The 15,213-nt window shown below is 39.3% G+C and overlaps 1 long non-coding RNA gene across 4 annotated transcripts in view; it reads right to left on the bottom strand.

The window, feature by feature from the left end:
- Positions 1–15,213, bottom strand: part of LOC105375410 (uncharacterized) — an 86,586-nt gene that overhangs the window by 15,559 nt on the left and 55,814 nt on the right. For 2 of the 4 annotated variants that reach the window (XR_001745288.2, XR_927777.3), the window contains exons 4-5: positions 7,114–7,315; positions 771–851 (exon numbers count right to left, since the gene is read on the bottom strand). This is a non-coding gene — a long non-coding RNA (uncharacterized LOC105375410). Of the gene's footprint in view, positions 1–770; positions 852–7,113; positions 7,316–10,980; positions 11,279–15,213 lie in introns of those variants that run through there. The other 2 variants (XR_927779.3, XR_927776.3) reach the window with 2 other exon arrangements.

Genomic DNA, 15,213 nt, shown 5'->3' with positions numbered 1-15,213 from the left:
AAAAATACTTCAATTTATCATCTATAGATTTCTTTTCCCGTGGTAATTTTAATCTTGATTTTTTTCCATGAGATACAAAACAAGAATTTGCCTCACAAAAAAAGTCAACTTTTAAGAGAACTCTTCCACCTTTTCATTAAAATGAAGAAAATGCATGATGCTGCCTTACTCAAAGCTACTGAGAAAACATCCCAGTAATGCACCTCCTCACCTGTTACATGTTTTAGCCTCAGTTCCTATTTGGGTACCTGGGTATTTTTCAGGTATACCCTTGGCTATTTCTGGGTGTGTATTTGAAACCATCTTCATTAGCATAATATTTTTCTAATGTCAAATGAAAAACATTTTTATGATCAGATAGATGAACTTCTAAGGTCAGCAAGCCTGTCTCAGTTTCTAATATTTCCAAAATATACAAGTGATTCTTTTGCTTTATAAACCTCCACCTGCTTCTTTCTTTCATGTAATTCGCCTTTGTTCAGTTATTTTGCACCACCCCTGGAGTGTTTTCAAATATATTTTAAACCCCCAAGCAACCCCATTTCAGCTGATTGACTTTAGAGAACTCTAATGCTGGCCAGGCATTTTGCTGCAACCCCATTTAGACTCAGCAGGAAGAGCAGATTTAAAAGGCAGATTACGTTTTTAGCTTTTTAAAAACTGCTTTATTAGAGAGGCTAAAAGCCACAGTGGTGGTAAGCTGAATTCTTTTGAAATACAAGCAACTTCAAGACATCTAGGGAGTAGCTCCTCACCCGTGGAGCTCCTCCCTTTGGGTTTCAATGATGGCAGGGACCAGCTGGCTCCAAGTATTTTTCTTAAGGGTCCTTGTGGCTCCAACAACAGAATCCCTAAAAGCACCAAAGAGGTTTCATTTAAGGGTCGGAGACCTTTGAAAAGCAGCTCACCGAGGTTCCCGCCTCTGGACTTCTGGCAGGCCATTTTGTGTGAAAGTGTTGTTACATACTGGCTTCTACTGAAATGGAGGGGCTGGCCAAGGGGCAATAGGTAGGGAACTATAATGAGGATGTGAAAGCCGCTTACAGAAGAGGTGAGAATACCTGCAGGCCTCATTCCTATGACAGGCATCTGGGAGTCCCAAAAGATGGCTAAAAAACAAACAAACAAACAAACAAACAAAAACGGGTGGATGGATGGATAGATAAGACATAGATAGATAGATAGATAGATAGATAGATAGATAGATAGATAGATAGATAGACAGACAGGCGGAGGCCACAGTAGTGGCTACTGCTTCACACACCATCTTAAAACATGTGCTACTACTAATCAATGCATTCCTTCTCACGTACTTGGGGTTTTGTTGGTATTATACCAAGAGCTGCTTATAGAGCAGTTGAGTGTTCCTGAAAAGAGGCTGGACATACTGAGATTTCTAGAAAGTCTACGAGATTCCATATGGAATCTCATTGTGTTTAGAGGTTTTGAGAGAAAATAAACACAACCAGATTTCAAGAATGTTTGTAGAAAAGGCACGCTAAGACTATTTAAAGACAAGGTTAAAACAGGATTAAGCCAGAGATCTAACTAATCATACCGTGTAGATGCAGGGCATATGTGCTGCCACGCACTCCCTCTGTGCCCAGAGAACATCAGAAACCAATTATAACTCACCTGCCAAGCCCAGAACAGCCTTAGAATCTTTCTTGGCAGGCTGATGCCATCCTGGATTAAACAGAGGATAGCCCTAAAGATGTATATGGGTCAGGTTAGAACCCAACACAGCTGGACATGGTGGCTCATGCCTGTAATCCCAGCACTTTGGGAGGCTGAGACCGGCAGATCACCTGTGGTCAGGAGTTCGACACCAGCCTGGCCAGCATGGTAAAACCCTGTCTCTACTAAAAATACAAAAATTAGCTGGGCGTGGTGGCGCATGCCTGTAGTCCCAGCTACTCAGGAAGCTGAGGCAGGAGAATCACTGGAACCAAGGAGGCAGAGGGTGCAGTGAGCCGAGATCACGCCATTGCACTCCAGCCTGGGTGACAGAGTGAGACTCTTTCTCAAAAAAAAAATTTAATTAATTAATTAATTATTTTTAAGAAAAGAAGTCAACATAAATTCCCACAGGCAGGACAAACAGGTGGCAAAAGCAAGTGGAGCCAGCGGAATGGGAGCAGGAAGAATGTCAAGTACATGCCCTACCAGAACAGGGCAGTAGGTGCTCAGCTTCAGAAGATGTTATCCTGCAGGAATCGTGGGCTTGTATCACCAGATTTTTTAAGAGTAAATAAAACCAAATTTTTACTTGAAATCTCTTGATTTTTAAATGCTGAATCCAAAAAGAGGGGGAGAAATTAATGCCACGTAAGCCAAACAAAATACATATGCGGAAAAAAATAAAAAGACATCTGCTTGTTAATGTAGCCTCCAGGCTTAGGAGAATTGAAGGAAGATTTCACTTTGCTCTTGTCTTGCCTGAACCACCTTGCCACTATCCGCAGCTTAAAAACAAAAGAAAACCATCTCACCAGGGCTTGCAGAGGGCATGTGACAAATTGCAGAAAATTATAGCCAACATTTCGTGGTTGCTGATCTTCCCTGGGTTACACACTAGCAGAGGCCTGAAAAAACAGGCAAACTTCAAAGATCAAAGTTTCCATGCTGCAGAGGGGACTTTTCAACCAGCTTGCTTTTGTCTAGTTCCTCCCACCCCCAACCCCTTTTTGTCAATCACCAAGCAGTTGTCACAAAGTTCAGATTCTGACATTGTCAGAGGCTAATCATGCCTTTCACTCATAGCTTATTTCAGTATTCCAACCCTCTAGGTCTTGGTCTCTTTTTGGGCTGTTTACATACAATTTCCTTCTGGGTGGAGCTTTGTTTTTTCTTTCCTTCTTTTGGGGCTGTTGTTTTTTCTTAAAATAGGAGGTCATTTCAGGCAGAAATATGTTTTCGCCTCTTTGCTTCCTCTATGGCTGGGCCTGGGGCCCTTTTGGAAAGAAGGAAATTTCCACTTTGTTTACAAGGAGGGGTTGGTTTTCTTTGGCTATCCCATTAATTTGCTGGGTAGGGAGTTTGATGTTCCTAGGATTATCTAAGGAAATCAGGAGAGGCATTTTAAAGGCCCTTCTTCATTTTTTTTTTATGTTACACTCTCTGTTTTTCTGATTCTTTTTCTCTAACTTGTTCACATTTTTCTAATGAATTTAAGCTTCCTATATGTCCGTCCTTGCATTCCAGCTTTCTACCCTATTTTTTTAGCTTTAGTTGTCAATCTGGTTATTTGACCAACATTCTGGACCAATTCCAGCATGAGTCACAGTTTTGTACTTTTAAATGGAAAAGTAATGTTCCCCTTCTCTTTAAAATGCAGCCATGACCCATTGCCATTGCTACAAAAGGCAGACTTGATTGTGCATGTCTTTCTCTACTGTATTCTCCCATCTTCATGGGCCACACGTCAAGCAATTCATCACCCACATCGAATAATGTCAATAGGCACCCAGGTGGGAGTGAACTGTTCTAAGCCTCACTCAGAGTTTACAGTTGTCCTCTGGAAGAATGCATTCTAAGAAAACAACACGTTAACTGAAAAAAAAAAAAAATTCCAAAGCCAACAGAAGAAAATCCTTTAAGGCATATCTTGTGATGACTTTAGTAGGCTTGATGCCAAAGAAATGTTAAATAATTTATTCAAGACCACTCCCAATATGTGATTTACTTAAAGGGTCATGTTTACTAACATATCATACTAAAAGACCTCAATTAAGTGGAATTAAGAATCCCATTTCAGAGTTTGATTGTTTAGGACCATTCCATTTCATAAATGCTTATTGTTCATTCTAAACCAAGGAAGAAAGATAAATAATGACAAATAAGGTCTATGGTAAAGATTGAGATCAGGAAAGGCTATTTAGGATGGTGATTAGGACCATGTATTTGGAGCCAGGCATATGTGGGATGGGTACACATCAGCTAGTAACAATGAGTCTCAGGCAAGTTACTTACTATGTCTATTCTTCAATTTGCTCAGCTATAAAATAGAGATAATAACAGTACTTCCTTCATGGAGTTGTAAATGACTATGTTAAAGACCTAGTAAGTGTTCATTACAACCAACAACAGCAATAATTCCAACCTTCATAGGGCACTTTTATTATGCATGAGGTACTACCTTTACTTGAATGATTCTATGAAGTAGGTATCATTATTATCATCCTCATTTTGCCCATAAGGAAATTAGAGACTCAGAGAAGTTAAGTAACTTATCCAGGGTCACAGAGCTACTAAGTAACCAATCCAGGATTCCAACCTAAGTGAACTGGCATAGAGCCTGAGCCCTTAACCACTATGTAGCTTTTAACGTCCTTTTAATGTGTAATGAGTCTTCCCTATTCCAAGTGTTTGTGGATCTAAGGTCATTCTGTCATTAACTCAACTTCCTATGTTGCCTATGACTGCCTATAGTGTTGTACACAGAGCAGAGATGCTGAAAATGGCAGATCTGTTAAAACTGTCTCTTTCTCTCTCTGTCTCTCTCTCTCACATACACACACACACGCACACACACTTACATGGTTGTTTATTTACCCTCACTGTACCCTTCCTGCGAAGTCAGAGGAGTAAATGATGGATATAAAATATACATTCTACAGTATAAAAAGAGGAAGGAGTTTCTAATTCATTTTTGCCTTTTAATTAACCAATAATTAGTTATTTAAAACTTCTCATTCCTCCTAGCATTCTGGTTAACTGATATTTTTTGTTATTTTATTCCTACAATAAAATAAATACATGTGGTAGAAATTACAGTCAAATAGCTTCCATTCCAAAAGATACAAACTGCTCTAATTTATCTAGTTTAAAGAAGCAACAGTTTTAGAGTAAACTGTTGGTGAAATTCCAAGTAACATTTTTACTGTCCTGAGAAATGAAATTTGAAGAATTGGAAGGCATAGGAGGCCATGACGTCAGAGATGGAAATATAGAATGGGGCCAGCAGTTTGTCACAGTAATACATTCTGATAATCAAGAAGTTAAATATCACAGGATATGTTTGCAAATCTATTACAATATGCTGTGCTTATAAAATTATATAAAATATGCTGTGCTATAAATATCACTTATATTTTATTGTATATTTTATGTATACTATATATATAATATGCTGTGCTATATATATCACTTATATTTTATTGTATATTTTATGTTATCACACATGACCTCATTTGATTTGCACAGGAGAAATAGTATTAGATGAGATAGGCAGTAGAAATAATATCAATCCATTTTATGTAGGAGGAAACTGAGGCTCAGAAAGCCAATGACTTGGCCTAGGTCACACAGCTTGCAGAGCCAAGACTTACCATTTTTTGCTATTTCTACTAAGTCACAATTTTTACTGGCACTTTTGTTGAGCCTCCCTTGACAGTTTCCTTAGACCAAGATGGCTGTTCTCCAAGGGGTGGGAACCAGGAATGATTTTTGTAGGGAAAGGTCCAGAACAAGAGGTAGTAATGCATGGGTACACCCTCCCAAATCACCTTAGAAGGCTAAGCAGGGCTGGAGGAAAGGAGGTCATTGGCAGGAGAAGGGAAAACTACAAAGGGCAAATGTCCCAACTTTCCCACATCTGGCCATGCTCATTCCACATTTTATTTTGTGTTAAAACTATTGGCTCTTGATTCAAATTGCAAGGGTTGAATCCTGGCGCCACTCTTCACTGAGCTCTTTTTGCCTCGTTTCCTTGTTGGTAGAATGGGATTCAAAACCATCCGAATTTTGTAGGATTGATGTGAGAATTAAACAAGAGAGAGCCGAAATGGTGGCTCATGCTGTAATGCCAGCACTTTAGGAAGCTGAGGCAGGAGGATTGCTTCAGGCCGGGAGTTTGAGACCAGCCTGGTCAACATAGTGAGATCCTGTCTCTTTTTTTTTTTAAACAAAAAATAAATAAGAATTAAATAAGAGAACCATGTAAAGGGCTTAGCATTCTAACTGACACATGGTAAGTACTTAATGAACATCAGCTATCATCATCACTATTTTTCATGCAGAGCTAGAGTGGCAGAGCCAGTATTGGTACCCAGCCAACCCAATTCCAGAGACCAGTTTCTTAACCAAAATTCCTATTGTCTTCGGACTTTCTGTGTCCATCTGTCTGGAACGAACTTCCCTTAGATATCCATCTGCACAGCTCTCTTCCCCTCTACATTTAGGCCTCTGCTCAAATATCACTTCCTCTGAATGACACTTCTTGGCTGCCTGATCTAAAACGGTACTCTTTGTGACTCTCTATCCCTTTAATCTGCTTCATTTTTTTTATAGTACTTATAGTTACCTAATACAATATTGAATGTTTATTTGATTTGTCATGGATTGCTTTCTCTACCACTAGAAAGCAAGCTCCATGAAGGCAGGGGCTTGGTTTGGCTCACATGTGTGGCTTTTTTGCTTAGAACGTATTCAATTTTTTGTTGCATAAATGTATATACTGATGAGTAAAACATTCATTGACAGCGGCAACTAACATATGGAACCACTATCAACAGAGAAACCAAATAGGAATAAGATCTAGCTCCTACTCTAAAGAGACTTACACTTTAGCTAGGAAGGGGCTCAGAAAGGTCATTAGAAACCCACCTAACTGTCGTGACAGAGAATGCCAAGGTTGAATGAGGGGCACCAAACCTCTGTGTGCTCCACCCTGAGTCTAATCTGCAGACTTATCCATCAAGTGAGTCTAACAGTCTATTCTTCCCTAATGAAATGTTCTAGAATCAAATATCAAATCAAACAATAGAATTTCAGAAAGCATTTTAAGAGAGTTTAAATGCTCAAGCCTTGCTATCTCTATGAAATCAGACATACTATTCCTTGGGAGGTGACATTCTCCAGAAGACTATGGAAATAGTATTTCTTTGATGTAATCTGCTCCCAAAAGTAAACTAGGGAAGTAGATATTTTACAGTTGCTAAAGATCTTGAGAGATTGAAAAGCAAAATAGGCACTCAGTCTCATTAAGCCCAAACTACTAGACTGTGTCTTCTGGGTGAGTCATTAATCAATACCATTAAGTTATAATTCTTTGCCAAGCTAAGAAAACACGACCCAAACAGTAGTGAGCATTTCCTCCCTCTTACCACTTACCCCTAAATATGAAGAGCGATCTTCTAAAAACTTCAGTCTTCCTGAGATTAGCAGGTCTGCAAAATGTCCACTGGATTTGTCCAGAGAGAAAATGTGCCAAACGTGATGAAGTGAGAGAACACCACTTGATTCTGGCCACTCACACTCAAAGCTTTTTCCACCGCCTGGATAAAGCAGTGCAGAGCTACACAGGATGACAAGACTGAAATAAAACAAATCATTTACAACATGATTTCCTGCTGAGCAGTGTTCTAAGCCATCCCATGGTGGATAGTGCCTAGCTAACACAGAACAGACCCTAGGCTCTTGAACGGAAAGTCCTTTTATATGACAAATAACACTGTGTGTGTACTGATGAGTGGCAACCACAGAAAAATGGTGCGCTATAATGGAAACATCAATGGTTCCAGCAGAGGAAGACTGCACTGTTCTTCATCAGAGAAGCTCACCTTGATCTGGTATGATGGACCTAAGGAATAACTAGCCACTGGGGCAGTCAAATCTACATTCACATAAAAGGCCATAGCAATGCCCAGTGTGACTTATTTAAAGGGCAACACAATTGAACATAAATTATCAAGTGTCTAGAATATGCAACATTATGGGTTAGGGGTTAAAAAAATAAAGATGCACAAGACACATTTCTGCCATGAAGGAGGAGGAAAGTGCTGACTTAAATGTGACCTCATTTAATTTGATCCTTATAGAATCCAGTAGGGTAGACACAAAGTTTTATAAACCCCATTTTACAGATAAGGAAGCTAAGGCTCAAAGTGGTAAGTGATGTGCTCAAGTTTAATTTGAGTGAGCTCTGGAGCTGGAACTCGACCCCAAATCCTGGATTCTTACCGCTATAAAACCTGCATCTGGCTCCATCTTTAGACAACAGAAAAAAGCAAAGCCTTAATTCAAACATATTCCTGAGGTAAATTAGAATTTGCATGACATTTTTAAACTTTTAATCACTTCAGTATGTCATTGCAACACCATTTAGCTTTCTTTCATTAAACCTTGATATGACCACATGACCAAAACAGCCAGATGATGACAGAACAGAAGCTCTGCTCTCACCCACAGAACAATCCAGGACTCAGGGACGGCAGGCTGCATCCAAAGTATTCACAGCTGAGGTAAATCTAAAACCTTTGCTCATTGGGGCATTCCAAGGCTTTTGGGGAAAAACATACCTCGTTCTCAAGTATTGTTTGGCAACTTTTCTTCATCCAGATGATCCTGGTTTGACTGGATCACCAATAATGTTTTTCAGAGAATTGAAAATTTTATGAGCTTTCCCTCAAGATGGGCTCAAGGAATGCTTAACATAAAGGCACAAATATTATGGAGCTGGAGAAATTTAAAAAAGAAAACTGATAAAAAGAGTGATCCGAGTCCCAGGAAGATTAGAGGGTCTTTAAATTCTGATTTTGTTCGGGGTTGAACACTAAACAGAATTCATACATTGACTCTCTACAGTTTACAGTTGGGGCTGTCTTTAACTTCCTTCACCTGGCTTCCTTTCTGTATGCTTTTATTATACTCACAGTTCAAATCTCATTTCCTGACATTGTTTATTATCATCAGGTGTTGTGCCTTTATCATTACAGTCATAGTAGCACTTTTATCTCTACCTCTATTTCTAATGAAACAACCTTTTTACCCTATATTATTGTACTTGTGTATATTTTTATATCACCTCTGAACTTAAAACTTCTTGAAGAGTTATCTGTAATAGAATATTATCTCTGACTAACCAGCATGAAGTCTCAAATTTGACAAGCATCCAGTTTATTGAATACAGAATTAATCTTTCTCTGGTTTCCACTGACCCCTCTATCTTCATCAGAGGACTTCTGTTGGACTTCAGTCCAGTCTGGTCTACAGAAAGTCCCTTTTTATCAGTTCTCTTTTTTTTCTTTCTTCAGCTCCATAATATTTGTGCCTTTATGTTAAGCATTCCTTGAGCCCATCTTGAGGGAAAGCTCATAAAATTTTCAATTCTCTCAAAAATGCTATTGGTGGTCCAGTCAAAACAGGATCATCTGGATAAAGAAAAATTGCCAATCGACATTTGAGGCAGAGGTACCTTTTTGTCCCCAAAGCCTTGGAATGCCCCGATGAGCAAAGGTTTTAGGTTTACCTCAGTCCTGAATCTTTGGATCTACCAGCAAATTAGGGACCCCTGTCAAAACATGCCTTAAAGAGAGAGATGGCAGTTGGGAAAGAGAGCAAATCAGGAAATTCAACATCCTCATTTTATATATGAAAAATGGAAGCCCAAAATAGCAATGTAATTTACCCAAACTCATCCAGCTCTTGGTAAAAGACCCAGGACTAAAACCCAGGTGTCCTGTCTGCCAGTCCTCTGAGGTAACTTTTCTTTCTCCTCACCATCCCAAACTGCCTCTCCTAAAGAAAATAAGTCCTTCTGATATTTTAGTTCTTGTTTTTATTAAATTGGTTTGTGTCCTTGGCTCCTTGTCCTGCCCTCATGCCTGGCCCAGAGTGCTGGGCCACTTGGAACTAGGAGTGTCAGTCCTCATGGCTCCAAGAGGTCACCATCAATAGAGAAGTCACTTGTCTCACGTCTTTGGGCAACACCACCTTCCCTACTTAGACAAAAAGATGACCCTTGCGTTAAATCTGTCAGTCTTGAGCTCTGCTAACTGGCAGAGCTAAGAGATCATACCCAGGCTTATGTTGGTCAGGTAGAAACAAATGTGCCACCTATAAGTTGGGTGACATTATGATCATTCTAGCACCCTTTGATTTGTTAAGAATAAAATAGTTTTGTTGGAATCCTTTGTGGTTATGTTAGTGTCTTATCGACCTCATCTTTTTCTAGTCCCACCTTCTTTTTTTTTTTTTTGCCTTCCTGGTGCCTCGTATTTATTTGTTTTAAGATGTGATTGAGGCCGGGCGTGGTGGCTCACGCCTGTAATCCCAGCACTTTGGGAGGCCAAGGTGGGCGGATCACAAGGTCAGGAGATCGAGACCATCCTGGGTAACATGGTGAAACCCCGTCTCTACTAAATATACAAAAAATTAGCCAGGCATGGTGGCAGGCGCCTGTAGTCCCAGCTATTAGGGAGGCTGAGGGAGGAGAATGGTGTGAACCCAGGAGGCAGAGGTTGCAGTGAGCTGAGATCGCGCCACTGCACTCCAGCCTGGGCGACAGAGTGATACTCAGTCTCAAAAAAAAAAAAAAAAAAAAAAAAAAGATGTGATTGAGGGATATTACTTTAATTTTTTAAGCACCTAAAACACTTTATGTAAAAATAAAGAAATAAATTTATCAAATCCAATTTTTTGGAGCAAGTTGCAATGGAAAAAACCCTAGATATGAAATCAGATTAGAGTTCAAAAACACCCTCTCACCTGCTAACTTTTGCCGATGACTGAACTTCTCTGAGTCTCAGAATGCTCATTTGTAAAATAGAGTTAACAATTCAACAACAGAGAGTAGGCTAGTTGAGTGAGAAGTCATTAAATGAGTCTGGTGTGATGCCTGTCATGGCACATAGGATCCCACTCCACGTTTGCTGAATCTGAACTCAGGATTTTCAGGATCATAAGAGCTTTGTTTACCACAGCTGCCCTCACTACTGCTCTGGTATCTCTTTTCTTGTACCATCAGCACTTTTCATAGTGTGCTACAGAAATGCCCAATTATGGTATCCTATTGTGGTTTTGATTTGCATTTCCCTCATGGCTAATAAGAGCATCTGTTCATGCATTTATTGTGCATGTGTTCTTTGGAGAACTGTCTTTTTATATCCTTTGCCCATTTTATCATTGGGTTTTCCTATTTTCATTGAGTTGTAAGAGTTCTTTACATATTCTAGATTCAAGTCCCTTACCAGTTATATGACTTGCAAATTTTTCTTTCATTCTGCATGTTGCCTTTTCACTTTCTAGGTGATGTCCTTTGAAGCACAAAAGTTTCTCATTATAATGATGTCCAGTCATCAAATCTACTTTTTCCTTTGTTGCTTGTGTTTTTGTTTTCATATCTAAAAACCATTGTCTAATTCGAATTCATAAGTATTTACCACTGCATTTTTTTCTAAGAGCTTACAATTTTCACTCTTATGTTTAGATTTAATGATCCAGCTGGAGTTAATTTCTGTATAGGTTGTGAGGTAGGGATCCAGATTCATTCTTCTACCTGTAGATATGAAGTTGTTCCAGCATCATTTACTGAAAAATACTATTTTTTCCCATTTTGTTATATTTACACTCATGGTAAAAATTAAGTACTTTTTATAGCAACACATCAGGAAGCACATAATGCCAAATTGCCTCCCTTTTTGTATTAAAATTGATTCTATTCAAATGTCAAAAAAATTTAAAAAATCAAATTTAAATGAAATGAAAAGATATCATGGAGCATATTATGATACTGCTTATTACATATGAACATTTTAAAAGCTGAGTAAGGTAAATTTATCCAGGAGAAATATATTAAATATTTGTCCAATTCAGGCAACCTTGCACTTAGGAGGGCAGCAGCAGAACTTTGGACATCATCCAGAGGAAAACATTAAAGAGCATGAATACAAAGCCTTTCAGCATGTACTAGAAAATAAACCCATCCTGAAGTTGAACACGGACAAGGTCCTAGATTTTTTTTCTTTTTTAGAAAGATCAAAATGTCAGTCTGAACAACAATTTTTTTAAACTAAATAAAAGCAGCATTAATGTTTTTAAATACAATTCAAAAACTATTAAAATGAGTAAGTTATCAGGAAGTACATGACCATAATCCATGTATTTTCTATGTTCCTTCTACTTGTACATAGATTTCAGATCACGTGCAGTCCTATTATGAATTCTATTAATTCTTCCTTGCCTTGTGTTGTAAACATTTGCATTGATTTAAGTGGTTGCAGAATAGTTCATCATGCTGCTGGCTGTTTAACTAACTCTCCTCCTAACTCTAGACATTGTTTGGAAGTTGAATTGAATTTTGTGATTAAGTGGTTGTTTTTCATAACTCCTGTAGTTTTAACTTCAAAATTCCTTTGCACTCCCAGTCCCAGTGACCATTTCAGTCATGCAGGGCATAGCAATGATGCATAAAACAGAGACAGACAGGAGATAAGCGATTGAAACTGCTCTTTTTGGGCAGGGAGACAATGAGAAGCAGGGGAAGCACAAAACAAACCAAAAAATCTGGTTTTAATATCTGCTTTCAGTTGTTAGACTAAATGATTATTTGGTTCCCTTCTGTGAATTAATTTCACCAGCCAGTTATTCTAATTCTGTATTCCTTTTGGCCAGATAGATATAGACTAAAAATATGTACAGAAAAGAATTCTGGACTTATTTTAATGTGTGCCTATCAGCATTTGGTTATTTCCTGTCTTGTTGTAAAAAGAATTTAAAGCAGTTCACTTTGGGGAGTTTTCTGAAAAACTTAAGGTCTTTAACAATGCAATTTTTTCTGCTTTCTTTCAGTTCCTAGAGCATTTCTGTCAGTTATAGAAGTTAATTATATTTCCTAGAATCTTATCTCATATTATAGGTATATACTATTTTAATTCCTATTTGCTCTGCTCTCTATAGAAATCAGTTTGACATGAACAGTTTCATATCAGCATTGAGGGATTATTACAAATGGGCTCACATGTGTCTTTGTTTTATCTCTTGTGTAATTACAACTTGGATGGAGCATTATTTGTTCAACCTTCTAAGGTCACAGACCAGTCTTTTCTGGTTTACAACTGTACTAATCAGCTAAGAAACAATGGGTCAAGCTATGAAAAAGCTAAACGTTGAAGATTGTTGAATGCAGGGCTTTACAGTAACATGCAACTACCTGGCCTTTGGAACACCAACTGTATAGGATTGGGAATAATACTGGAAATGTCCCTTTGTTCACTGCAATGTGAAATAATTCCATCTCAGTGTTTGCTCAGTAACCACATGCATTTTTGTTTTTGCCTTTTTGTCTCTTCATTTTAATATTTACTATGTGTAAAACTTCTGTATTCTGCACTGTGGCAGGGAGGTGTTCTGCAGACGGGAGGAAAAGGATGTAATTCCTAGCTAATATAAATCTTCACACTTGCATGGAACTTTAGAACTGACAAACTGTTTTTCCACATGAGTGAACTTCTCTGAGTCTCAGAATGCTCAACCTAATGAGGGAGATAGGACAGGAATGAGTATGCCGTTTTACAGGAATGAAACTGAGACTCAGAGATATTGTGATGTATCCAAATCCATCAGACCTAGAAAAGTGAAAGACCCGGATGGTCACATCCCTAATCCAACCTGCTTATCACCATTCATGGCTATAATGAAAATTTTTCACTAAGTAATTTCTCCCTTTGAAGATTTTCTGTAATTCTTAGTTGCACACTAGTTTTACAACAATCCAAGTCAAGGAGAAATCTGTGTGTTAAAGGACTTTTTTCTTTGATGTGCCTTTACTCTCCGTGGAATGCACCCAACAGTGAGTTTTCCCCTGCACTGAATAGCTCCTTTTATTTAGTGAGATGGTACCTCATAGAGAGGGAGACTTCTCAAAGCACCTAACAGATTGGGGCTTCCTAAACCACATCTTGAGGGACAAGAAACACTGCCCTCCCTGGCTGGTGGTAAAGCTTCAACAAGCCCAGGTGGCTTTTCTCTTGGGCTCCCATATTTCCGCTCTTTACTCTGCCAAAGTCCACATTCCTTTCCCTGTCACCACACACAGTTTGACCCCAGGCCAGGGTGGCAGCTTCCTCGGTCCCTTTGAGGCCACAGCCAGTGCTGCTCTGTAGACTTATTGGCAGTGGGCATCTGGGGACAGCTGCTGCCCAAGCCCTCCTGCAGCAGCCCATGCACCTTGCCTCACAATTGGCCTTGTGTTCTCCCAGGCTCCTGGGAGGAAGACCCATCCTGCTCAGCCCAGGCCTCCCACCAAGTGTGTTACTTGGGGCCCTCCACCAAAACAGGATGGCGGTTGAGTGTTGAGATTACCTGACCACTATTACCTCTTCCTTGTCTCCCAACAGCTTAATTCAGCCAAAGGTGTCAGGACCTCATCCCTGAGAGATTTGGGTTGTTGTTTTGTTTTCTTTTGTTTCCCAGAACAGGAAAAACATGAATATTTTCTTTTTTTTTTCCTGTGCTTCTTTGAAAAGACATGAGGGGTGAGCCCCGTGTGAAAAGATATTTTTGCATCTAGTTTGGGGGGAAAAAAGCCTTTCCCCAAATGTCTGAGAACCTTTTCATTATAAAATCCTGTGATGAAACACTAACGAGGAAGAAGGATGCCATCAGCAGCAGGGCCAGAGTACAACAGCACCGTCTACTGGACAAAGGCTGAGTTCATTGATGGTGTTCCATGCAATGGCCATGAAGAAAATATGGCTAACACTCTGGGGCTAGGGTGCAGGGAGAAAAGCATGAAAGAGGACCTGGACTTTTCTAAATGCAGTAAATCTGTGAGAGGCAACTGCTTTGTGGGACTGTTCACAAAACAAATTCCAGGCCTTGAGAGTTGCTCTTTAAAAAAATTTCTAAAAATTTATCCCCTATACACCCATGCAACCCCCATCCATCTACTGTCATTTTTATGAGGCTGCCCCCACCATCAACACTTATTAAACACCCTCTCACCTTGACACCCACACATTCATTCCTTTATTCATTCATTCAGCGCCAGGCCCTGCGCTAGGCATTCAAGGTGTAATAAGAAGTAAGCCCTAGCATCCTTGAGCCATTCTGTAGGCATCCAGGACTGGGCCTAGGCAGGAATTCCTGTTCCAAGTCTTTCTTTATCAACTTCCTTTCAGTTTTGTTCTTACTTTCAGTTCCCCTCTGAGCCCTGCTCTCTGCTAAGAGATAAGTGGGATATTGGGGTATCCATGTAAATTAGCCAAGCTCCTATATTAACCAGGTAAAATGTTTCTTATCCCATGTAAATTCAAACTCTTAAATCCTTAAGATGGCTATTCAAGGATGATCCTAATGTTAAGATCTTTAGCCAATTTGACAGATACATGGAGGTCAAAGAGGAATGGGGTGTTGATGTATGTCCCTTAATCAGTCATTATAGTTGGTAGCTGCCTTTTTAATACATACAAATGGCCAGCTCTGGCCAACAGG

This window comes from Homo sapiens, chromosome 7 (assembly GCF_000001405.40).
Source record: "Homo sapiens chromosome 7, GRCh38.p14 Primary Assembly".
Lineage (NCBI taxonomy): Eukaryota > Metazoa > Chordata > Mammalia > Primates > Hominidae > Homo > Homo sapiens.
The sequence above is the reverse complement of the archived record's forward strand: the minus strand, read 5'-3'. Positions and strand labels throughout refer to the sequence as shown.